Here is a 26,104-nt window from a genome sequence, read left to right on the forward strand (position 1 = left end):
AGGAACAGAAGTTGGTTGTTTTAGGAGGTGAAAAGGAGAAAAAGGGACTGGATCCAATACCTTGCACCAACAAAGTACAAGTCACAGGATGGATAGTGGTAAGAGAAATCTCTCCCAAACTTTGGTATTCTGGTTTTGTAGTAAAAACCTGATTGCGAATGAAATTCAATGTATCTATCATTATGTAAGAAGACAATCTGAAAATAAAACAAAAAAATTAGTTTGCTTAGGTTTCTAGTTAGGTGTTTACTTCATTATCGCTAAAAAACTGGCAAACCAAGGAAAACCCTTACCTCTCTCTCACTTTCTGTATCTAAACACACATGTCCATGCACACACACTCCACTGGGATTAAGAATGAAAACACTCCATCGGCTCCTTAATGCCTTCCTGTATCCTGATAGCTTTTCTGCAAACCTTACATACTAATTAAAGACTTGAAACAAACGCCCTTCATTTACATGGCACCAGCATGTCATAACATAGAGCACTCTCATGGTACCCTCAATGATCAGTTCCCTCTTTCACTTGGGAACACATTTAAATAATCCTGGCCGGGCATGGTGGCTCACACCTGTAATCCCAGCACTTTGGGAGGACAAGGCGGGTGGGTCACCTGAGGTAGGGAGCTTGAGACCAGCCTGACCAACATGGAGAAACCCCATCTCTACTAAAAACACAAAATTAGCTGGGCATGGTGGCGCATGCCTGTAATCCCAGCTACTCAGGAGGCTGAGGCAGGAAAATCGCTTGAACCCAGGAGCCGGAGGATGCAGTGAGCCGAGATTGTGCCGTTGAACTCCAGCCTGGGCAACAAGAGTGAAACTCTTGTCTCAAAAAATAAAAAACAAAAAATAATAATAATCCCACCATTATCACACAAGTTATGATAAACTCCTTGTATACATTTGACTTTAGTGTACTAAAGGGGTATCTTAAACATCAACAGATGGTATTTAAAGGCAAATTTGTCAGTATTTAGAGAAAATACATTCTAAAATGACATGTTCCAAAACGTATGATAAATGATACCATAGACAAAAGGATAAGCTGTACCCCATAGTTTCCAAAACTGAAAATATAAAGCCATGTCAGCTAAGAAAATTCAATTTTCTTTCAAGATGCCATTTGACATCACTAAAAATGTTTCATTTTAAATTCAAGAGTTTACTGACAATTTTATAATTGTTGAAAGTGATTATAAGAGTTGAAAGATGGGTCGGGGGCAGTTGCTCACGCCTGTAATCCCAACACTTTGGGAGGCCAAGTCAGGTGGATCACTTGAGGTCAAGAGTTTGAGACCAGCCTGGCCAACCTGGTAAAACCATATCTCCACTAAAAACACAAAAATTAGCCAGGTGTGGAAGCACATGCCTGTAGTTCCAGCTACTCAGGAGGCAGAGGCAGGAGAATCACTTGAACTCGGGAGGCTGATGCTGCAATGAGCTGAAATTACGCCACTGCCCCTCCGGCCTGGGTGACAGAGCAAGGCCCTGTCTCCAAAAAAAAAGAGTTGAAAGATGGACTAATGGCACCAAAAAAGAGAAATAAATCTACTTAGCTATATTTTGAACTGTTTCAGAATATACCACAACCATTTGCAAAGTTAAAAAAAAATTAAACACACAACCCTGCTAGTTTACATTTCACATATAAATAAGAAAATGAAAGCAACCTGGCAAATAAATCTAGGTTAAACGTAATAATCAGAATCACAAATCTAGAATACAGGATGATATAAAAGATGACTGCTGCCAATTCTTAAAAATACAAATAAGGTTTCATATACGATATGAAAAATTACCTTTGATATTAGATTGGCCAAAGGCTATCCGTATCACTGTATTAATATTAATAAAAAATGATGGGTTACATTTTACTACACAGCCATTTTTGTTTAACAATAGAACTACACAGCCATTTTAGTTTAACAATAAAAATATTATAAAACTGCTTATCATTAAAATAAATTCCACTCACTCATTTCTTGGGTCTAGTCAGTACAAACCAATGCTATAAAACATACCTTTGAGTAGTCATCAGACAAAATTTCAAAGGTGACAACTGAAAAACAAGAAATAGGAAAAATACAATTATCAAACAATATTCTTAGTAACAACGCAAACCTGATGCAAAGATTCTAATTCAACACAGAAATTATATACATACCAGTTTTTTTCTGCCTCTACGTGAAACAAGAAGAAAATTGTCATAGTATATTGTCCCAAAACACCAACAAAAACTTAAAAGCCTCATAATTTCTCAATACACATCAACTAGATTTCTTGTAGAACTGAATGCAAATTCACAAAATATAATGACTTCTAAATTCTGACACTCTGAGATGTTGAAAACAAAATAATTTTAAAGACTTTCAAATATACATTAAAGAACAAAAAAATTGTTGCTTAACAAAAAAGATGTCATTTTTTACCCATTCATAGTCTACCTGATAAAGAAAAAGAGCGAAAAATAGCCATTATTAGTGGCACACAGAGTTTCTATTGTTTTCAATAAACAAAGATATAGTAAGACCCTATCACTATGGGAAAGAAAAAAAAAAACAGAAAAAAAATTAGCCAGACATGGTGGTGCATGCCTGTGATCCCAGCTATTTGGGAGGCGGAGGTAGGAGGATCTCTTGAGCCTGGGTAGTTGAGGCTGCAGTGAGCTGTGATCATAACACTGCACTCCAGCCTGGGTGACAGAAAAAGATCCTGTTTCTAAAAAGTAAAAATAAAAAAAAAAACAACAAAGGGTGAAACAAGTTGGGAGACTATGCATATAATTCCACAGACCACATATCCCATTAACTCCTTTCCCCTCAATCCCAAATTCTAGGCCAACTGATAAAAGCACTTGAACTTTCCCATTTTAACTTGACTTCAGTGCCATTCAAAATTCTAAGAATGACCCCCAGTGACCTTTACCCTCGTATAACCCCCTTCCCTTGAGAGTGTGGGTAGAAACTGTGAATTGATAAGACATTGCTCCCATGATTACATTACATTCTATGGCAAAGGGGAGATTTATAATCATATGAGCCCTTTAAAAGCAGAGTTTCAGCTGGGCGCAGTGGCTCATGCCTGTAATCCCAGCACTTTGGGAGGTCGAGGCGGGTGGATCACGAGGTCAGGAGTTCGAGACCAGCCTGACCAACATGGTGAAACCCATCTCTACTAAAAATACCAAAATTAGCTGGGTGTGGTAAAGTGCGCCTGTAATCCCAGCCACTTAGGAGGCTGAGGCAGGAGAATCACTTCAATCTGGGAGGTGGAGTTTACAGTGAGCCAAGATTGTGCCTCTGCACTTCAGCCTGGGCGACAGAGCAAGACTCCGTCTCCAAAAAATAAATAAGTAAATAAATAAAAGCAGAGTTTCTCTGGCTGGCAGCAGAAGAAAAAGTCAGAGAGATCCAAAACACAAGGGGCTGGGTGCAGTGGCTCATGCCTGGAATTCCAGTACTGTGGGAGACCAAAGCAAAAGGACGGCTGAGGCCAGGAGCTTGAGACCAGCCTGGGCAACATGGCTAGACTCCATCTCTACAAAAAATTATAAAATTAGTGGGGCATGGTGGTTCACATCTGTAGTTCTAGCTACTTGGGAGGCTAAGGTAGGAGGATCACTTGAGCCCAGGAGTTCAAGGCTACAGTAAACTATGATCATGCCACAGCACTCCAGCCTGGGCAACAAGACCCTATCTCTTTAAAAAAGTAATAAATAAATAAATAAAAGAAAGAAAAGAAATACAGGGAGGATCTGATGAGCTGTTGCTGGCTTGAAGGTGGAGGTGAGTGTGTGATGAGAAATGCATGCAGCCTCTAGAAGCCTAGAGTGGCCCCCAGCTGACAGCCAGAAGGAAATGGGAACCACAATCCTATAACCACAACAAACTGAATTCTGACAACAACCTGAGTGTATTTGGAAGCAAATTCTTTTTTATTTTTTATTATTTTGGGGGTTTGGGGGGGGTGCATTCTCTGAAAACAAGAAAAGCTGCCAGTCAATTCTAAAAGAACTACAAACTAACACGTGGAAGCATATTCTTGCCCAGCACCTCCAAGTCAGAGCTCCACCTGGTCAACACCCTGACCTCCTGTCTGAGCACAGAACCTGCATAGACTTAAGATCTACACAACTGTGAGCTACTAAATGGATGTTTTAAGCCATCGGGATTGTAGTACAGTAATTTGTTATACAGCAATAAAAAACTAATTACAAACCATTCTCATTTTAAAACCAGAAAAGCAGACAACATAAAAAGCCATTTTCATGAATTCAAATTTAGCTTTTTACTCACCTTCTGAATCTAAACACCTTTCAAACTTCAAGGATAATTGATAGGTGTCATAACATCGAACCCGAGGTTTATATGTTCCTACAAAAAATTAATGTGATGTAAAACCTAAAGACATACTTTCATAGTCAAAACATCCAGATACATTGAGTGTACTTCTTGTTCAGAGACAGGCAGGATTAATTGTAACCAAATCAAAAGAAAGGAATGTAAAAGCAGCCCCTCTCAAACACCCCAAGGAAAAACTGAGCAAAAGCTAAACAAGCAAGTCATAGAAAACCAAACAAAATAACTAAGAAACCTACAAGTAATCTAACAAAATACATGCAAACAATGAAACAGTTTTGTCCACCAGAATGGCAAAGATTAAAAAACGGTTAATATCTGTGTTGGTGAAAGTATAAAATATTCCCCTATACTGTTGTTGATTAGTATACAATTGATACAACTTCTTTGAAGGACAATCCCTAAAAACACACGATGTTTCCATACTTTCAATCTATATTTCAACTTACATAAATTGAACTCACAGAAATATATCCACAAGCCTGCCAAAGATATTAAGAATGTTCACTGCAGCATTATTTATAAATGGTCAGCAACTGAAAGCAATAAAATGTCCACTGACAGGAAAATAGTTGAATAAATGACAATAAATCCACACAAGGGAATATTACATAGCCCATAAAGTGGATGAGGCAGACCTCAGTAGTAACCATTGACATGGAAAGCTGCCAAAACGTACTATAAAGTAAAAGTACAGGGGGAGCACAGGTGAGTGCTGGAGAATGATCCATATAATACGATCCCAATTTTGTACAATGAAATGGTAACTTTGGCACTTTGTCTTTTTTTTTTTTTTTTTGAGACAGAGTCTCATTCTGTCATTTAGACTGGGGTGCAATGGCGTGATCTCGGCTCACTGCAACCTCCGCCTCCCAGGTTCAAGCTATTCTCCTGCCTCAGCCCCCTGAGTAGCTGGGATTACAGGTGCAGGCCATGATGCCCAGCTAATTTTTGTATTTTTAGTAGAGACGGGGTATCACCATGTTGGTCAGGCTGGTCTCGAACTCCTGACCTCAGGTGATCCACCCACCTTGGCCTCCCAAAGTGCTGGGATTACAGACATGAGCCATCGAGGCCGGCCTCTTTTTTTTTTTTTCTTTGAAATGGGGTCTTGCTCTGTCGCCCAGGCTGGAGTGCAGAGGAGTAATCTCAGCTCACTGCAACCTCTGCTGCCTGGATTCAAGTGATTCTCCTGCCTCAGCCTCCCAAGTAGCTGGGATTACAGGTGCCTGCCGCCACATCTGGCTAATTTTTGTATTTTTAGTAGAGATGGGGTTTCACCATGTTGGCCAGGCTGGTCTTGAACTCCTGAGTTCAGGTGATCTGCCTGTCTCCGCCTGCCTAAGTGCTGGGATTACAGGAGTTAGCCACCATGCCTGGCCTAACTTTGGCACTTTGTAAGGCAAAAGTTGGAGGAACTAACTTCACAATGATAGTCTATCTCCGTGAAGTGCAATTTCGGAGACTTTCATATTTTATGTTATGTATTTCCAACAAAGACATCTTAAAAATAAAAGAATGAGGTAGTCCTTTGTTTTCTGGCATAGATCAAAACCCAAGATTTCGTTTAAAGAAAAAAAAAAGGTTATTTTGTGGGGTTTTCTTTGGTGTTTTTTTTTTTTTTCCTTTTTTGAAATGGGGTCTCACTCTGTCAACCAGGCTGGAGCACAGAGGTGCAATCACAGCTCAATGCAACCTCAACCGCCCTGGGCTCCAGTGATCCTCCCACCTCAGCTTCCCAAGTAGTGGGGACCAAGAGGCGCCTGCCATCACGACTGTGTAATTTTTGTATTTTTTGTAAAGATGGGGTTTCACCACGTTGCCCAGGCTGGTCTCAAACTCCTGGGCTCAAGTGATCCACCCACCTCAGCCTCCCAAAGTGCTGGAATTACAGGCGTGAGCCACCGCACCCAGCTTAAAAAAGAGAAGTTTAAAACCAGTAAATATGAGCCCACTGTCGTATGGCAATAATTTTAATACATTTGTGTGTGTGTGTGTGTGTGTGTGTGTGTGTGTATACACATATATATGCGTGTGTATATATGTGTGTGTACATATATATCCATATAGACAGATACATATATATACACACATAATTTTATGTGCACACACACACACACACACATAATTTGAAAGGCTATACATAAAACTTTTAATATAGCCAGGACCTTTATTCCACTGTCGTTTGTTTTTGGGGCTTTAATTTTTTTTAGAGACAGGGTCTCGCTGTTGCCCAGGTTGGAGCACAGTGGTGCAATCATAGCTCACTGTAACCTCAAACTGCTAGGCTCAGGCAATCCTCCTGCCTCTGCCTCGTGAGTAGCTGACACTACAGGTGCACACCACCACTTTCAGCTAATTTTTTTTTTATTTTTTGTAGGGACAGGATCTTGCTGTGTTGCTCAAGCTGGTCTTGAACTCCTGGCCTCAATTAATCCTCCTGCCTCAGCCTCCCAAAGTGCAGGGATTATAGGCATGAGCTACTGTGTACCCTGCTGTTTTTTATTGCTATGTTCTTTGAAAGGCTTACAAGTATTACTTTGGCCACTAGGGGAAAAAAGTGGTAAAAAAAAAAAAAAACACTAATAAAAGTAGAGCCTCTATTTCTTATCTTTCATCCCCAAGTAACAGAAAAAATTAACACAACCACTAAGGATAGGTTTGAATCTGGCATGATCATAAACCCAATGCTTCCAAAAGGAATCAAGAGGCCAGTCACTTCCGTAACAAATCAATACTTTGCACATCCCCTGAGTTCATTCCCTTAGATAATCTATTTCCCCAACCAGAATGAAAGGTCTTCAGGGCCAATCTTACTCAACTTTTTAGCCACAAGGCCTAGAACACCAAAGGGAATCTGAGAAAGAAGTAGGGATAGATACCGAGATTGAAAGAAAAACCTCTACCAAATTAAATGGAGAAGCAAGTGACATTCCAACTCCATTTCCCCTACCAATACCAGAAAAAGGCCTCTAGGAAAGTCAAACCAGGACTCTGGACTCTACAATTGTGCTGTCCAATATGGCAGCCACTAGTAATGTGAGGCTAAGTTAAAATGAATTAAAATCAAATTAAATTTAAGATTCCAGCTGGGTGCCGTGGCTCATGCTTATAATCCCAGCACTTTGAGAGACAGGCGGACAACTGCTTGAGTCCAGGAGTTTGAGACCAATGTGGGCAAAATACTGAGACCCCATCTCCATTTAAAAAATATTTTTTTTGGCCGGGTGCGGTGGCTTACATCTGTAATCCCAGCACTTTGGGAAGCTGAGGTGGGCGGATCACCTGAGTTTGGGAGTTCAAGACCAGCCTGACCAACATGAAGAAACCCCATCTCTACTAAAAATACAAAATTAGCCGGGCGTGGTGGTGCATGCCTGTAATCCCAGCTACTCAGGAGGCTGTGGCAGGAGAATCACTTGAACCCAGGAGGCAGAGGTTGCGGTAAGCCAAGATGGCACCACTGCATTCCAACCTGGGCAACAAGAGTGAAACTCTGCCTCAAAAAAAAAAAAAAAAAATTTCATTAGCAAGGCATAGTGGCGAGCACCTATATTTCTAGCCACTCAGGAAGCTGAGGAAGGAGGATGGCTTGAGCCCATAAGTTCAAGGTTACAATGAGTGAAACCCTGTCTCAAAAAAAATAAAAATAAAAAAATTCAGTTCCTCAGTCTCACTACCATGTTTCACATTCTTTCTTCCTTTCTTTCCTTTTTCTTTCTTTCCTTTTTCTTTCCTCTCTCCTTCCTCTCTTTCTCTCTCTTTCTCTCTCTTTCTTTCTTTCTTTGAGACAGAGTCTCGCTCTGTTGCCCAGGGTGGAGCGCAGTGGCGCGATCCTGGCTTACTGCAACCTCCGCCACATGGGTTCAAGCGATTCTCATGCCTCAGCCTCCAAGTAGCTGGAATTACAGGTCCACGCCACCATGCCCAGCTAATTTATTTTTTATAGGGACAGGATTTCACCATGTTGGGCAGGCTGGTCTCGAACTCCTGGCCTCATGCAATCTGACTGCCTCAGCCTCCCAAAGTGCTGGGACTACAGGTGTGAGCCACCCCGCCCAGCCCACATATTATTTATTAAATATTTTTAAGATAAAATAAAACCGAGGCATTCTGAATAAGAAGGAAAGCCATTAGGCCAGGCGCAGTGGCTCACACCTATAATCCCAGCACTTTGGAAGGGCGAGTTGGGCGGATCACTTGAGGCAAGGAGTTCGAGACCAGCCTGGCCAACATGGTGAAACCCTGTCTCTACTAAAAAAATACAGACATTAGCCGGGTGTGGTGGCGAGCACCTGTAGTCCCAGCTACTCAGGAGACTGACACAGGAGAATCGCTTGAACCCGGAAGGCGGAGGTTGCAGTCAGCCAAAATCATGCCACTGCACTCCAGACTGGGTGACAGAGTGAGACTCTTAAAAAAGAAGGAGAAGAAGGAGAAGAAGGAGAAGAGGGAGAAGAGGGAGAAGAGGGAGAGGGAGAAGAGGGAGAGGGAGAAGAGGGAGAGGGAGAAGAGGGAGAGGGAGAAGAGGGAGAGGGAGAGGGAGGAGAAGGAGAAAAGGAACCATTAATTTTGCATGGGAATAGAGGACGATTTCATAAAAGAAAGTGTCATTTAACAAATCTATATCCTAGCTTTCTTAAGTACTAGATCTGTGAGCCTAGACAAGTCACTTAATATCTCTGGATCTATAAAATGAAGAAAATTTGAGTTTCTTCTAGTCTTCAGTAAGGGTGTCCATGTATCTTAGATTTCCTCAATTCTTTTTACCAGTTTCTGAACATAAAACTGAAGGCTAAGAGATGTAGATAGTGTTAGTTAGTACTGAGATAATCATTAACACAAAGCAAAAGAGACTGGCCTGTGTATGTATAAAAGGTATTACCAAAAAGAAAGTGGTTGGAAAAGGAATACTGTTATCAGCAAAAAATGTTTGGACAATATACAGGACTTACGCGCCAAAATCACAACCACTAAAGGTTGGGTGATACTGTTCAACACTCCAACACACTAAAAGTTTTCTACATTTCATGATTTTTTGATAACGATAAATACTGTTAATGTAAAATCTTAGAGATATTTTTAAAAATTAGTACATTATACAGAAAATCATGTTATAAGTGACCTTTCCTAAAACTCTCATTCATTGTTAGTAGGAGTGCAAATGATATGATCACTTTGGGGAACGACTTAGAAGTTTCCCAGAACACTAAACATACACCTACCTAGGACTCAAAAATTCCACTCCTAGGTATTCACCAAAGACATGAAAGCTTATACCCACAAAACAGACTTCTATACGATTGTTCATAGTGCTTTATTAGTAACAGCCAAAAACCTGAATGAAAACAGCCTAGCTGTTCATCACATGGAGAATGGGTAAATAAACTGTGGCTTAGTCATAGAATGAAATATCTTTTGGTAATAAAAAAAAAAAAGAAGCTATTGACACATATAACAACATGTATGAACCTCAAATACAAAATCCTACATGAAATAAGTCTCACAGAGAAAGAATATACAGTGTATGACTACATTTATATTAAGTTCTGAAACAGGCTAAACTTGTCTATATTGAAAAAAAATCAGCAATGGTTGTCTCTGCATGGGTGGGAGAAATTTTCTGCAGGAAAAAAATGTTCTGTATCTTGATAGAGCTTTGAGTTACACAAGCGTGTGCATTTGTCAAAACTAACCAAATGGTAAACTTAGGATCTGTGCATTTCACCAATATAAATGTTTTTACCTTGAAAAAGGCTATAAGTAAATACTGATAAATATTGAACTCCAGCTAATGATATACTTGCTGAAGTGTTTCAGGGTGAAGTATACTGGTATCTTCAACTTACACTGAAATGCATCAAAGAAACAAGATGGACTGATACATGAACAAAGAGACAGATGCATGGGATAAATCAAATACTGCAGAGTAAACTATTTATTGCAGAATTTAGGTAGTAGTTAAATGGGTGTTTACTATACAATTTTTTCAATATTTCTGTGTGTTTGAAATTTTTTATAATAAAATATTAGGGTTAAAAAAAAAAAGACCTTTCCCATCGCAGCATTTCCTGGTACAAAATGCATGAAAATCATAACCAAAAAGATGCTTACCAGTTGCTAAAATGTACTGTCCATCTTTTGACACCTTAATAGTGGTACACACAGTAGGCATTTCAAAGTCCTGAATAAGTTCAATTCTCCTACGGACATCTAAAAAGAGAGAAAAAAACAACTAGTTTAACTAACATGTGCTTATTCTCTATCATAAGAAGACAAATGGGTACCAAGCAGTCACCACAACTATAAACAGGTGAAATTCATCCCAAATGCTTCCTGGCCTTGGGAAAGGTCACCAGCACAGCCCAACCATTAAACAGCAGAGGTTTTTTCCTTAGCTCATACGTTGTTTTTCTAAGCTAAGTATTTCATTTTTACTTTTCAAGAATAAAAAAAGTAGCATCATTAATTGAAAAAAAATTTTCCACAACAGTGTATCAAACATCCAGTGTTACAGGAGGAAGAGCATAAACATTAAACCACTTTTTTTTTTTTTTTTTTGAGACAGGGTCTCACTCTGTCACCCAGACTGGAGTGCAGTGGCACAATCATGGCTCACTGCAGCCTCAACCTCCCGGGCTGAAGCGATCCTCACACCTCAGCCCCCCCAAATAGCTAGGACTACAGGCGCATGCCACTGCACCCAGGTATTTTTGTATTTTTTGTAGAGATGGGGTTTCGCCACGTTGCCCAGGCTGGTCTCAAACTTCTAGGGCCAAGCAATCCTCACACTTCAGCCTCCCAAACTTCTGGGATTGCAGGAGTGAGCCACCGCACTGGGCCCCTAAACCACTATTACTACTCAATCATGGCAAAGACAAAAATCCAACTTTTTTTTCTCCTAAGTAACAGGTTTAAGCCCCCAAACTCTCCAAACTCTTTTTTTTTGAGACAAGTCTCACCTGTTGTCCAAGCTGGAGTGCAGTGGCACAATCCTGGCTCACAGCAACCTCCACCTCCCAGGTTCAAGCAATTCTCCTGCCTCAGCTTCCCAAGTAGCTGGGGCTACAGGCACGCACCACCATGCCTGGCTAATTTTTGTATTTTTAGTAGAGACGGGGTTTCACTACGTTGGCCAGGCTGGTCTTGAACTCCTGACCTCATGATCTGCCCGCCTGGGCCTTCCAAAGTGCTGGGATTACAGGCATAAGCCACTGTGCCTGACCCAACCTCTTAAGTTTATATAAGAAACTGCTACGAAGCTGACTTATACCTCTTTTGGAACCAATTATCTGCAGACAAGAGGAAACCCCTTTGATACCTTAGGTTTTTAAAGAGTAAGTTAAACAAAATATATGGGAAAATAAATTTTCTTTCATATGTGACAAGCTATAATGAAGAAAATATAATGAAAACTTGTGCACCAAAATTATTTAAGTTAGAAATTTTTCTTACAATTTCTTGCTGCCGTAAATTTAAAAGAACCAACATCTTCTGCAATCACCTTTAACTGTTCAGATTCATAAACCCTACATGTAAAATTCCTTTCTTCAAGAAATGCTCATTGTCTCTGTATCTCAAACACTGATAAATGGATTTAATTTACACGATAAGATTTTGATACACAAGAGAGCAAAGCAATTAGGGACCTGTTAGGAGAGACAGTCCTCCTTGGACCTGCATGCTTACTGGGTATGGCGAGATTGCAAGACCCCAGCCACTCTTACCTGAGCCATTTCTCAGGGTTGTTTACACTGCTGAGAACCTTGATAGACAGGTAACCTGTCCCTTCTGGACAAAACACAGGTTTGCTTACTGCTTGCCAGAAAAGCAGTGGACTTCCCAAGCTGTGTTGCTCGGCCACAACGCAAATCCACTGTGTGCCAAGCATCCACCTGGACTGTGCTAAGTGTCCCCAGGAGACCCAAGAGGGGAACTGGCACAAATATGCTGATGTTCATGCTATCTACTGTGCTGTGAGTAATAACATCTGCATTTCTAGCCCAGGAGTCTTGCGTCTACTATTGTTATCCATGAAACGGTAACAGGCTAACTTATTAGTTAATAAGGTAAAATCAAATCCCATACCCACCAGGAACATACCAACCACAACAAAAAGTTTCTTAAGAAGGAGAAAGGCGGCCGGACGCGGTGGCTCACACCTGTAATCCCAGCACTTTGGGAGGCCAAGGCAGGTGGATCACCTGAGGTCGCAAGTTCGAGACCAGCCTGACCAACATGGAGAAACCCCATCTCTACTAAAAATACAAAAAAAATTAGCCGGGCGTGGTGGCTTGTAATCCCAGCTACTCAGGAGGCTGAGGCAGGAGAACTGCTTGAATCCAGGAGGTGGAGGTTGCAGTGAGCCGAGGTCACACCATTGCACTCCAGCCTGGGCAATAAGAGTGAAACTCCATCTCAAAAAAAAAAAAAAAGGAGAAGAGCTGCGTACAGTGGCTCATGCCTGTAATCCCAAAACTTTGGGAGGCCAAGGTGGGAGGTCTGCTCAAGCCCAGGAGTTAGAGACCAGTCTGGGCAACACAGTGAGACCCCATGTCAAAGGAAAAAAAAGAAAAGGGACAAGAGCATTCATTTTCCACTACATGTTACCGCATTCTTATAAATCCTCACTTATATATAACAGCAAATGAGTAAAAGCATTAGAACATGGATCACTAACGCAGCTGAAGTGGGAAAAAACAATACTCACCTACATCTTTCTTCTGTAGCGCTCTCTTCTTCCTATCAGAAAGCCACTTAAAGAAAATGAAGAGAGTTTATTTTAAAACAAATTTAGCTAAATTGTTTTTCGGCTTGCAAAATCAATACATGCTTATATTTAAAAATTCAAACTTCATAGGAATATATAACATAGGAAGCAAAAAATATTCTCTAATCCTAACTCTACTCGTAACGTATTAAATATCTCCTGGATTTTTTTTCTTGTGTATACTTACATACATTAGATAATTTCTTTTATTTTTACTTTTTTAGAGACAGGGTCTCATGCTTGCCCAGTCTATAGTACAATGATGCGATGTGACTGTAGCTCACCGAAGGCTCAAACTCCTGGGCTCAAACAATCCTCTCACCTTTGCCTTCCAAAATGCTAGGTCTACTGACATGGGCCACCAGGCCCGGCCAGATAAGAAATTTTTTGAACTACAATCTTTTACATAGAGAAAAACTAACCCATCTAAGCAATCTAAAGGAAAGCAGAAAGCCTCAAATATTATGGGTTATAACTAAATATATGGAACAATTTAATCTATTTAAGTGAGAATTTAAAAAGTAAAACATTTATAGGAGAATGTTTCTTATAGAAATATATTTTTTACAAGGAATAAAACCAGATAAATAACTGACCAAATAGCTGATACTTGGCCAGGCATGGTGGCTCACGCCTATAATCCCAGCATTTTGGGAGGCCGATTGAGACCAGCCTGGCCAACATGGTGAAACCCCGTCTCTACCAAAATACAAAAAATTAGCTAGGTGTGGTGGTGGGCACCTGTAATCCCAGCTACTCGGGAGGCTGAGGAAGGGGAATCACTTGAACCCGGGAGGCGGAGGTTGCAGGGAGCTGAGATCTTCCCACTACACTCCGGCCTGGTGACTGAGAGAGACTCCGTCCCCCCCCCCCCCCCCCCCGCCAAAAAAAAAGAAAAAAACAGGCTTAACCACTAGAAAACTAACGAAAATAAATTTAACGGCATTAAAAATACAACAAAAGCTGATTAACTCCAGAATGGGAGACTGTAGGTCAAATTGTGTGAATAAAAATCGTAGCCCCAAGTCAAAAGTGTGATGGAGCTGAAAATGAAAATTAACTTTATTCATCAATACATTAAACAAATATTTATTTAGTACTACTAAATGCCAGTAATTAGGTATAGCAGTAGTAAATAAAACAGGAGGGAAAAAAAAGCCCTCTTGGCCAAGTGCAGTGGTTCATATCTATAATCCCAGCACTGAGGCAAGGGGATCACTTGAGCCCAGGAGTTCGAGACCAGCCTGGCAATAAAGTGGGATCACTGTCTCTACAAAAAAAAAAAAGCAGCTGGGCATGTTGGTACACACCTGTAGTCCCAGCTACTCAGTAGGCTGAGGTGCAAGAATCATTGAGCCCAGAGAAGTCAAGGCTGAGGTGAGCCATGATTGTGCCACTGCACTCCAGCCTGGGCAACAGAGTAAACCTGTTTCAAAAAAAAAAAAAATTTAAAAATCTAAAAACCCCTCCTTTCATGAAGCTTTCTTTCAAGTGAGGGAACACCAACAAATAAGGAAGTAAAACAATTAGAATGTCAGATGGTTATGTATGCCATGGAAAAAATAAAGCAAGAAAAGGAGACGAAGTGTTGGTGGAGAATTATAATTTTGAATAAGGTTAAGGTCCTCTTGAGCAACGACCTGAAAGGCATGAGGAGGCAAAGCCTGGAGAACATCTGGGAAAAAAGCAGGCAGGCAGGACCTGTGCCAAGGTCCTACGGCAGGAGTGTGCCTGGTCTCGAGCAGTGAGACTTGTGAGGCCAGTGTAAGGTGGAGAACAGTGACCGCTGAGCTCAGAGAGGAGGGCAGGAAGGCACAACATCAAGTAGGACCTTAAAAGTCACTCAAAGGACTCTGCTTTTCACCCCCAAGAGAGCAGGAGCCACTGGACAGTTCTGAGTAGAGGATCACCCTGGCAGCTTACTGATAACAGACTGTGGAATAAAGGGGTAGAGGGTGGAAACTGAGAAACTGCTTAGAAGTCAACTGCAATAACTGCAATTGCATAGTCAGGGGTGACAGTGTCTTGAATCAGTGACAGTAATGGAGGTGACTGGATTCTGGATCTATACTGAAGATAGAAGCAACAGCATTTTCTAGTGGATTGTATGAGAGCAAAGAAACAACAACAAAAAGCCTCCAGTGTTTTTGGCATCAACAGCTTGCGGGATGGAGTTGCCACTGGCTGAGGGAGGGAAGACCACTAGGTTGCAGGAGGGGGAAATGTGGGGGGAAAGCTGGTGTTCTACTTTGGACAAGTTAAGTTTGAGATGCCTATCAGACATCCAAGCGGGGATGTCAAGAAACAGTTGGATACACAAGTCCAGTTCAGAGTAGAGGTAAGGGCTAGAAACATCAATGTGATAGTTATCGATATGCAGATGTGCTTAAAGCCAGGAGACTGCCTAGGATCACCAGGGGAGTAAACGTAGAGGCTTCTCTACATTAATAAAAAGGTAAAGCCCAGAAGGAGAGAAGCAATATTTGCACAGATCAGACAACAACTGGGGTTCCACGTGTAGTTTAGGCACCACACCTCAAAGAAATAACCAGAAAATATTAAACAGGACAAGCAGGGGTTTCCAAATCCACTCAGCTCAAGCTACCCTCCCCACCACTCCACTGGAGCTCCTTGCCAAGGTCAAGGGCGCTCTGCATCATGCCAAAGTCGATGGTCATTTTTCTGCCTTCATCTTACTGAAGCTCTCAGTAGCAGCTGACACAGGTGACCACCACCTCCTCCTTGAAACACTTACTTCTACAAAACTACACATTTCCCAGTCTCCCCTTCCATCAGTGCCCACTACTCTTTCTTCTTTGCTGGGTTCCCCTCCTCTTCTTGGATGACAAATGCTAAGACTGCCTCAGGTCCTCAGCCTAGTTATCTTCTCTGTTCTTTCTCTCACAATTTGATCTCACCTAGTCCCAAATAACGACAGTAAATTCACCTGCAATCTCCATCCTAGTATCCATGCAACTGCTAACTACTCAACATCTCCATTTGGTATGTATTAGAACTTCAAATGTTCACTATTGAAAATAAAAACCTTGGGCCGGGTGCAGTGGCTCATGCCTGTAATCCCAGCACTTTGGGAGGCCGAGGTGGGTGGATCACAAGATCAGATCGAGACCATACCGGCCAACATAGTGAAACTCCGTCTCTACTAAAAATACAAAAATTAGCTGGTGTGGTGGCACGTGCCTGTAGTCCCAGCTACTGGGGAGGCTGAGGCAGGAGAATCGCTTGAACCCGAGAGGTTGCAGTGAGCCAACATCAGGCCATTGCACGCGACCTCAAAAAAAAATCTTGATTCTTTTTGCTCACTACGTTCCTCCTCTCCACCTTTCAATGTGTTCCTTCTTGATTCTTCTCCATGTCAGTTAGCAGCACCACCGTGCACCCACTTGTTCAGACTCAAAACTGAAGAGTTCTCTGATTCCTTCCTTTTTGTCACCTCAACTTCCCTCTACCAACAGTCCAATCCATTAGCAAGTTCCATTACCCTATCTACAAAGTATGTCCTGAATCTCACTGTGTTTTAGCATCTTCTTTGTTACCAGGCAAGCCCAAGCCACCGAAGTCGCTCACCTGGACTACCTAATTCATCCCGACTTGAACCCTCCCCAGCTAGACATTTGTCGCACAGCAGCCCACACAACAGTGACTTCCAGCAGCACTAAGAATAAAACTTGAACTTCCTACCTTTCCTACCAGGCCTACCTCTCCAGCCTCATCCACCCTGCTCTCGCCCCCTCACTCAGCATAGTGCAATCACACCTGTGCCTCTTCCGTCCTCCTACATGTCCAGTGCATTCCCATGTGGGGCTTTTGCACTTTCTGTTCTCAGCACTGAAAACTCTTCCCCACATCTTCACACGACTGGCTCCTCTTCATCATCCAAGTTTCTGCTCATATGTCACCTCTTGTAGAGAGGCCTTCCCCGAAGGTTTTATCCAAAACACTTTCTCTCAATATTTTATCCAAAACAGCTCTCTTCTAATCATTCACCACGAAAAGTACTTTTTGACTACCTTAAATTGCCTTATTTGCTCACTTGTTTATTTCCCTTTTCCCCAACAGGGAACCTTATCTGAAATGTCCACTATAGATCCCAATACTTAAAACAGAGTTGCTTGCACACAGTAACTTCTCAATACATGTGGAGAATGAATGAACAAAATGAGAAAGCTCATGGGGTGTGAAGAACAACTGGAAGACAGGGAATTATTCAAACCAGAATTTTAGGAAGAAAGGAAAAACCTAAGCACTGGCTCCAAATTTTTGTAGAAGCAGACGCATGGAAGGAGAGCTATATTTATTCTGTTTTCCAAGGGCAGGACTCAGGCCAACAGTGGCATGCTATAAGGTGACATATTTGAAAACCACTTTCTAACAAGTGCAGAGTCTCAAAATGGAAATGAGCTTCCACAAAAGGTAGTGCTCAGTGGTAGTGCTTGGACAGAGGCTGGATCATCACGTATAAGAAACAAAAGACAAGTTTCAGAGCCTAAGTGTGTCATGCTGGACAAGTCACCCTTCCCCTTGCTGGATCTCAGCTGCATATTAAACGCATTATTAAATCTCAGCTGCATTACTAAACACGAGAAGATTGGAAGAGAATTACCGACTTGTCCAAGCCCTCTCCAACTTTAAGACTAGGAATCAGGTTAAGTTCAACAAGTCTCGAAAATACTGTCCTCTACACCATAAATTCTGCAGATGCGAAGTCTGTATCTCCCTTGTTCACTGTTGTATCCCTAAGACCTGGCAAATGATAGGGACTCCACAAACAGCTGATGGCCATATGGGGGAGAGATGTGTCAACGAATCTGCCACGTTTTCCTCCTCGATGTACGGCAGGGACTGTGAACACCCAAAGAGGCCCAAATGGTTGCGTTCTCTGGAACAGAGAACTTTACAAAAGTTCCAGCAAAGCTCACTGACCCTGATTATCCCTTGGTCCAGTTTCTGGCGCGGTGACGGCAGTGTCCTTGTCTCCCAATGCCGACACCTCCCCCGGAAATTGTCAGCCGCCTCTGGGCCTCCCCGAGTCGGGGGGTGACCAGCGTCCAGCTAAAACAGAGGCTAGGGCCGAGGAGAGGGGCGGCTGCCCCACGAGGAGGACGACCCCCAAGAGCTCGAGAGTGAGGGGGCCGGGAAGTGACTCACCTCAGGAAGGGACTTGCCGCAGCTGAGGCTGTAAATCTTCACCTCATTGAGGCTGGAGACCTGCATGGCGCCGCACAACACTGTTCAAGTCCCGGGTCCTTTCCCACCAGCGTGCTCGAGCACCGTAATCCCGGGACCTCCGAGCCCCTGCTCCGCGGCGTGCGGCCGCTGGCGCCGACTGATGACGCACTTCCTGGAGCCGGAACACGCGGGCAAGTTCCCGGAAGAGGGAAGGTGGCTGAATCCGGGAAGAGCGGCGGCCGGGAGAAAAACTAGTGAGGCTCTGACAACCCGGCGTGGCTGTCGGCGACGCTGCTACGGGCAAGACTAGACACAAGCCGGGCGCGGTGGCTCACGCCTGTAATCCCAGCACTTTGGGAGGCTGAGGCGGGCGGATCACCTGAGGTCGGGAGTTCGAGACCAGCCTGACCAATATGGTGAAACCCCGTCTCTACTAAAAATACAAAAAAATTAGCCTTGCGTGGTGGCCGGCATCTGTAGTCCCAGCTACACGGGAGGTTGAGGCAGGAGAATTGCTTGAACCTGGGAGGCGGAGGTTGCAGTGAGCTGAGATCGCGCCGCTGCACTCCAGCCTGGGGGACAGAGCGAGATTCCCTCTCAAAAAAAAAAAAAAAAAAAAAAAAACTAGACACAGCTCTCCCTGCTGTTAGCATCCCGAGCGGCAGGAGGAGGCTTTCGAGTCTCTGCCCAGGCCGAGATGTCATCCTCCCGGGCGGGGGCGAGGCAGTTCAGCGAGTGAACCCAGCGAATGAAGGCGACCAGGGTGCGAATTCCGAGTGGAAGTGTATTCTCTTCTCTCCTCCAGTGTTTCTGCGATGTTACGTTAGAAGTACTGTAGGCCGGGTGCGGTGGCTCACGCCTGTAATCCTAACACTTTGGGAGGCCGAGGCGGGCGGATCACCTGAGGTCAGGAGTTCAAGACCAGCCTAGCCAAGATGGTGAAACCCCGTCTCTACTAAAAATACAAAAATCAGTCGGGCCTGGTGGCGCGCGCCTGTAATCTCAGCTACTCTGAAGGCTGAGGTGGGGGAATCGCCTGAACCCGGGAGGCAGAGGTTGCCGTCAGCTGAGATCGTGCCACTGCAGTCCAGCCTGGGCAACAGAGTGAGACTCCGTCTCAAAAAAAAAAAAAAAAAAAAAAGAAGACTGTGGCGTCATCTTCAACCCATTCCTATCTCTGGCCCTCACTTTCAGTATCTAAACCTGGATATTTCTAATTATGAAATATTTCCTTAAAGTAATCTGTTTTCATTCCTCCTGCTGAAACTCAAATACTTAACTATTTTTGGATTATAACTTTCCCAAGTGATCTTCTTACTTCCTTTGATTTAATGAACAAATTATTTTATGCCTTACTTTCTAAAACCCAAATATTATTGTTTTGCTCTCCTACCCACAACATTTTGGAAACTCTCAAATACCAACACCACATTGCATCAGAATTAGGTTGAGAGTTCTTCGTGGACCCTATATCATTTGTCCTTATATTCCCTATCCACCCCATCCACCCCTACCCAGAGTACCAGAACAGTGCCTGGCCTCTATTAGGCATTGCTACATATTTACATTTAGCCATGTACGTAGGGATATATTCCTTAACTCTGTCCTCAAATTTAAGATCCTCCACAAATTTTTAATTTTCTACACTGGTTACAGTTAAGAAAAACTGTAAACATCTTTGGGAAAGGTGGCATAATAGAATGGTTAGATCACAGACTCTGGCTTGGCTTGGTGGTGCAGGCCTATTGTCCTAGCTACTAGTGAAGCCGAAGCAGGAGAATCACTTGAGCCCAGGAGTTCTTGGCTGTAGCACGCAACGAGCGTTGGGTGTCCTCAGTTTGGCATCAATATGGTGACCCCACAAGAGCCAGGGACCACCATGTTACCTAAGGAGGTGTGAAGCGGCTCAGGTCAGAAATGGAGCAAGTCAAAACTCCCATGCTCACCAGTAATGGGATCATGCCTGTGACTAACACTGTACTCCAGCTTGGGCAACACAGCAAGACCCTATCTCTTGAAAAATAAATAAAGATCACAGACTCTGAAGCCAGACTGGCAAGATTCAAATCCCGACTGCCATTTTTAACTGAAAGACCTTAGGTAAGTTACCTAACCTCTCTGTACCTGTGTAAAATGGAGATAACAGTAGTATCCACTTCACAGAGTTATGAGGATGAAATACATTCATATTTATAAAACGTTTGGAACCCAGTACTTGGCACATAGTAAGACCATGTAAGTGTTTGTAAAATAAAACTGAAAATAAAGCCATATACCAAATAAGTGGAAATGTATCCAAATTCCATTAACATTTCCTTTTTAACAGTTTTATTGAGATATAATTAACATACTGTAAAATGTCCCCATTGAATGTACAATGTAATGACTTCTAGTGTATTCAGAGTTCTGCAACCATCACCACAATCATTTTTAGAACAAAAAGAAACCCCAGCCTCAATTAGCATTCACTCCATGCCCCATCCCCCACCCAAGCCCTAGACAACCACTAATCTACTTTCTGTTGGCGTTGTGGGTTTTTTCCATGGGGGCATCTCACTTTGTTGTCCAGGTTGGAATACAGTGGCATGATCATGACCCACTGCAGCCTCAAACTCGAGCTCAAGCTGTCCTTCCACCTTATCCTCCTGAGTAGCTGGGAGTACAGGCACACCACCAGAGCTGGCTGTTTTGTTTTTATAGAGATGGGTCTACCAGTTAAGCATCCCTAATCCAAACATTTCAAGTCCGAAATGCTCCAGTGAGCATTTCCTTTTGAGCATCACATTGACATTCAGAAAGTTTCAGATTTTGGAGCATTTTAGATTTTGGATTTTCAGATTAGGGATACTCAACCTGTATTTTGTAAGGGCACCAATCCCATTCATGAGAGCTCTGCCCTTAAGACCTAATCATGGGCTGAGCACGGTGGCTCACGCCTGTAATCCCAGCACTTTGGGAGGCCAAGGCAGGCAGATCACGAGGTCGGGAGTTCAAGACCAGCCTGGTGAACATAGTGAAACCCCTGTCTCTACTAAAAATGCAAAAATTAGCCGGGCATGGTGGCACGCACCTGTAGTCCCAGCTACTCAGGAGGCTGAGGCAGGAGAATTGCTTGAACCCGGGAGGCAGAGGTTGTGGTGAGCAGAGATGGCGCCACTGCACTCCAGCCTGGGCAATAGACCGAGACTCCGTCTCAAAAACAAAAACAAACAAACAAAAAAAAACTAATCATGACCAGGCGCAGTAGCTCATACCTCTAATCCCAGCACTTTGGGAGGCTGAGGCGGGCAGATCACTTGAGGCCAGGAGTTCTAGACCAGCCTGGCCAACACAGCAAAACCCTGTTTGTACTAAAAATACAAAAATTAGCCAGGTGTGGTGGTTGGCACCTGTAGTTCCAGCTAATCTGGAGGCTGAGGCACAGGAATCGCTTAAACCCGGGAGGCGGAGGTTGCAGTGAGCCAAGATTGTGCCATTGCACTCCAGCCTGGGCAACAAGAGTGAAACTCCGTCTCAAAAAAAAAAAAAAGGCTGGGCATGGTGGCTCATGCCTATAATTCCAGCACATTGGGAAGCCGAGGAGGACAGATCATGAGGTCAAGAGATCGAGACCATCCTGGCCAACATGGTGAAACCCCATCTCTACTAAAAATACAAAAATTAGCTGGGCATGGTGGCACACACCTGTAGTCCCAGTTACTGAGGTGGCTGAGGCAGGAGAATCGCTTGAACCCAGGAGGTGGAGGTTGCAGTGAGCCAGGAGGTGGAGGTTGCAGTGAGCCAAGTTTGCGCCACTGTACTCCAGCCTGGCAAAAGAGCGAGACTCTGTCTCAAAAAACAAAAAAACAGAAAAGTGAGTTTACGCCATAAATCACTGATTTCAGGACATTCATTTTTTTTTAGCATCTCTGAAAGGATGAGTCTAGTGTATCGTGCATATCTTGAGGGAATGGTGCATCTTATAGGTAATGGTCTTTTAGAGTCAATAAAATAAAGTGCATATAAAGCACTTAGAACAGTGCCTTACACAGAACACTACATAAGTGCTAGTTATTAGAAAACCAAAACATTAAAAACTATTCCAGAAAAACTAGTTGTTACAGATTCCAACTAACCTTAAATGTTCTGCTGTTAGTTGCCATTCCAGAAACCTTCAAATAACATTCAAGCTTGCTCTCCTAAATTTTTTTTTTTTTCTGAGACAGTGTCTCACTCTGTTGCCCAGGCTGGAGTGCAGTGGCGGGATCTCAGCTCACTGCAACCTCTGCCTCCCGGGTTCAAGCGATTTTCCTGCCTCAGCCTCCTGAGTAGCTGGGATCACAGGCGCATGCCACCATGCCTGGCTAATTTTTTAGGCTAATTTTTGTATTTTTAGTAGAGACGGGGTTTCACCATGTTGGCCAGGCGGGTCTCGAACTCCTGACCTCAGGTGATCCTCCCACCTCAGCCTTCCGAAGTGCTGGGATTACAGGTGTGAGCCACCGCGCCTGGCTCCTCTCCTAATTCTTTACCTCCATGGCCAGTAGGTCTCCGAAGCATTTGGTTCCTTCTTTCCAATATCAGATTCCTTCTCTGTTCCTGCTGCCGCAGGAGTTCAGACCTCATTGTCTCCTACCTGGCCCACTGTAGTCCCTTTTCCTGTTCTCCCAGCCTCAAGTCTGCCTCCCATAAGAGACAAACTCATTCTCTCTAACAGGCAAATCTGATTATGGTGCACTCCTACAAAAACTCTTCAATCCTCCTAAAGCCAAAAAGAACACACCTGAAGGTCGAGTACAGTGGCTCATGCCTGTAATCCCAGCACTTTGGGAGGCTGAGGTGGGTGATCACTTGACCTTAGGAGTTTGTGACCTGCCTGGGCAACATGGTGAAACCTTGTCTCTACAAAAAATACAAAAAATTAGCCAGGTGTGGTGGCACATGCCTGTAGTCCCAGATACTTGGGAGGCTGAGGCAGGAGGATCACCTGAGCCTAGGGAGGTCAAGGCTGCAGTGAGCCATAATCGTACCACTGCACTCCAGCCTGGGTACCAGAGTGAGACCCTCTCTAGGAAAAAGAAAATACTACATTCGAACACCTTTGCAGGTTCTGGCCTTATAGGCACCTGGCCCCTCCTTCCTTTTCCAGCCAGTGCCGAAGCTGCTGCCTCTCTCCTGCATTCACTACCCTCTCCAAAAATCCTGGATTACTGACAGCCTGAAAAATACAAGGCCTCTCTCACCCTCTTCTTGCCTTTGCTCCTGCTCCTCTGGCTACTTTTAACACCCTCCTCTGCACAGTGCTGTGGTTTGAATGTCCCTCCAAATCTCACAGTGAAATTTAATCTCCAATGAGGCTGTATTGAGAGCTGGGGCCTAGAAGAAGTGATTGGATCATGAGGACTCTGCATTCATGGATAAATGGGTTAATGGATTCATAGGTTATCATGGGAGGGGAACTGGTGGCTTTATAAGAAAAGGAAGAGAGACCTGAGCCGGGACACTCAGCTCCTTCACCATGTGATGCCCTGCACCGCATCGGGACTGCAGAGTCCCCATCAGCAAGAAGGCCCTCTTCAGATATGGCGCCTCGACCCTGGGCTTCACAGCCTCTACAGCTGTAACAAATAAACTCTTTTCCTTTATAAATTACCCAGTTTCAGGTATTCTGTAGTAAACAACAGAGAATGGACTGAGACACCTGGGTAACTCTCCTGAATCTTTCTTCCCCTGCAAGAGGCCCTAGAGATCAAAGTTCTCATTGTGTATCATCTCACTGTTTTGTTTCTTAAACTAGGGCTTACAATTTTTTTTTTTTTTTTTTTTTTTTGAGATGGAGTCTCCCTCTGTCGCCCAGGCTGGAGTGCAGTGGTGAGATCTCGGCTCACTGCAACCTCCACCTCCCTGGTTCAAGCAATTCTCTGTCTCAGCCTCCTGAGTAGCCGGGATTACAGGCAGCCACTACCATGCCCAGCTTATTTTTGTAGTTTTAGTAGAGATGGGGTTTCACCATCTTGGCCAGGCTGGTCTTGAACTCCTGACCTTGTGATCCACCCACCGTGGACTCCCAAAGTGCTGGGATTACAGGCATGAGCCACCACACCTGGCTGTTTTTTTTTTTTTTTTTTTTTTGAAATGAAGTCTTGCTCTGTTGCCCAGAGCTGGAGTGCAATGGTGCCATCTCAGCTCGCTGCAACCTCTGCCTCCCAGGTTCAAGCGATTCTCCTGCTCAGCCTCCTGAGTAGCTGGCATAATAGGCGTGCACCACTACCTGGCTAATTTTTGTGTTTTTAGTAGAGACGGGGTTTCACCATGTTGGTCAGGCTGGTCTCAAACTCCCGATCTCAGGTGATCTGCCTGCTTCAGCCTCCCAAAGTACTGGGATCACAGGCATGAGCCACCGCACCCGGCCTACACTTGTATTCTATTTTTTTTTTTTTTTTTGAGATGGAGTTTCACTCTTGTTGCCCAGGCTGGAGTGCAGTGGCTCAATCTGGGCTCACCATAACCTCCACCTCCCGGGTTCAAGCGATTCTCCTGCCTCAGCCTCCCAAGTAACTGGGATTACAGGCATGCGCCGCCATGCCCAGCTAATTTTGTATTTTTAGTAGAGACGGCGGGGGGGGGGGGGGGTTTCTCCATGTTGGTCAGGCTGGTCTCGAACTCCCAACCTCAGGTGATCTGCCCGCCTCAGCCTCCCAAAGTGCTGGGATTACAGGCGTGAGCCACCATGCCCAGACTATACTTGTATTCTTAAAATAACTGGCGCCAGGCGCGGTGGCTCACACTAGTAATCCTAGCACTTTGGGAGGCCGAGGCGGGTGGATTGCCTGAGCTCAGGAGTTCGAGACCAACCTGGGCAACACAGTGAAACCCCGTCTCTACTAAAATACAAAAAATTAGTTGGGTGTGGCGGCGTGGGCCTGTAATCCCAGCTACTCAGGAGGCTGAGACAGGAGAATCACTTGAACCTGAGAGGCAGAGGTTTCAGTGAGCTGAGACCCCACCACTGCACCCTAGCTTGGGCAACAGAACGAGAGTCCATCTCAAAAAATAAAAAAAAAAATAAATACAATAACTGGCTGGGTGTGGTGGCTCATGCCTGTAATCCCAACACTTTGAAAGGCCGAGGTGGGAGGATCACTTGAGGTCAGGAGTTGGAAACCAGCCTGGCAACATGGCGAAAACCCATCTCTGCTAAAAATACAAAAATTAGCTGGATGTGGTGGCACGTGCCTGTAATCCCAGCTACTCGGGAGGCTGAGGCGGGAGATCGCTTGAGGCTGGGAGGTGGAGGTTGCAATGACCCAAGATCTCGAGTTCGTGCCACTGCACTCCAGCCTGGGTGACACAGTGAGACTTCTCGAAAAAGAAAATAATGAAAGAGAGATAATCTTTAGGTGTTTTTCTTCTATTAATACTTCAGTGATAATAAGCACACCCAATTCTCTGGTTGGCCATCTTCTAAGAAGCACTGCTGCTTGATTTCAGTGCCAAGTTTGCATTTAAGTTTACAGTTCACTGGTTCCATGTGCCACTACTATTTTTTCTTTCTTTCTTTCTTTCTTTCTTTTTTTTTTAAGACGGAGTCTTGCTCTTGTTGCCCAGGCTGGAGTGCAGTGGTGCAATCTCGGCTCACTGCAACCTCCATCTCCCGGGTTCAAGTGATTCTTCTGCCTCAGCCTCCTGAGTAGCTGGGACTATAGGCATGCACCACCACGTCCGGCTAATTTTTGTATTTTTAGTAGAGACGGGAGTTTCACCATATTGGCCAGGCTGGTCTAGAACTCCTGACCTTGTGA

The 26,104-nt window shown here is 43.8% G+C and overlaps 1 protein-coding gene and 1 pseudogene across 13 annotated transcripts in view, besides 2 other annotated features; one reads left to right on the forward strand and one right to left on the reverse strand.

Moving 5' to 3' along the window:
• Positions 1-18,482, reverse strand: part of NOL10 (nucleolar protein 10) — a 119,222-nt gene extending 100,740 nt beyond the window's left edge. For 9 of the 12 annotated variants that reach the window (XR_007082254.1, XR_007082293.1, XR_001738958.2 and 6 more), the window contains exons 1-6: positions 18,303-18,482; positions 13,074-13,119; positions 10,478-10,576; positions 4,301-4,378; positions 2,027-2,064; positions 61-197 (exon numbers count right to left, since the gene is read on the reverse strand). Coding sequence is in view for 8 of the 12 variants with exons in the window: in NM_001261394.2 (NP_001248323.1) it covers positions 61-197; positions 2,027-2,064; positions 4,301-4,378; positions 10,478-10,576; positions 13,074-13,119; positions 18,303-18,368 (464 nt within the window). In the remaining 4 variants the exon portion in view is untranslated. Of the gene's footprint in view, positions 1-60; positions 198-2,026; positions 2,065-4,300; positions 4,380-10,477; positions 10,577-13,073; positions 13,120-18,302 lie in introns of those variants that run through there. The other 3 variants (NR_048552.2, NM_001261392.2, XM_047445893.1) reach the window with 3 other exon arrangements.
• Positions 17,929-17,988: an enhancer, noted in NCBI's record as "active region_15309". NCBI's record gives its function as "activates an Ori minimal core promoter by ATAC-STARR-seq in GM12878 lymphoblastoid cells {active_cell/tissue: GM12878}" and the evidence as "EXISTENCE:reporter gene assay evidence [ECO:0000049][PMID:35858748]".
• Positions 18,049-18,328: an enhancer, noted in NCBI's record as "active region_15310". NCBI's record gives its function as "activates an Ori minimal core promoter by ATAC-STARR-seq in GM12878 lymphoblastoid cells {active_cell/tissue: GM12878}" and the evidence as "EXISTENCE:reporter gene assay evidence [ECO:0000049][PMID:35858748]".
• Positions 18,483-18,516: 34 nt separating the features above from the next.
• On the forward strand, positions 18,517-20,603 carry RN7SL832P (RNA, 7SL, cytoplasmic 832, pseudogene; annotated as a pseudogene). The gene has a single exon (NR_144555.1). The product of NR_144555.1 is annotated as an RNA, 7SL, cytoplasmic 832, pseudogene (transcript).
• The last annotated feature ends 5,501 nt before the right edge of the window (positions 20,604-26,104 follow it).

This window comes from Homo sapiens, chromosome 2, assembly GCF_000001405.40.
Source record: "Homo sapiens chromosome 2, GRCh38.p14 Primary Assembly".
Classification (NCBI taxonomy): domain Eukaryota; kingdom Metazoa; phylum Chordata; class Mammalia; order Primates; family Hominidae; genus Homo; species Homo sapiens.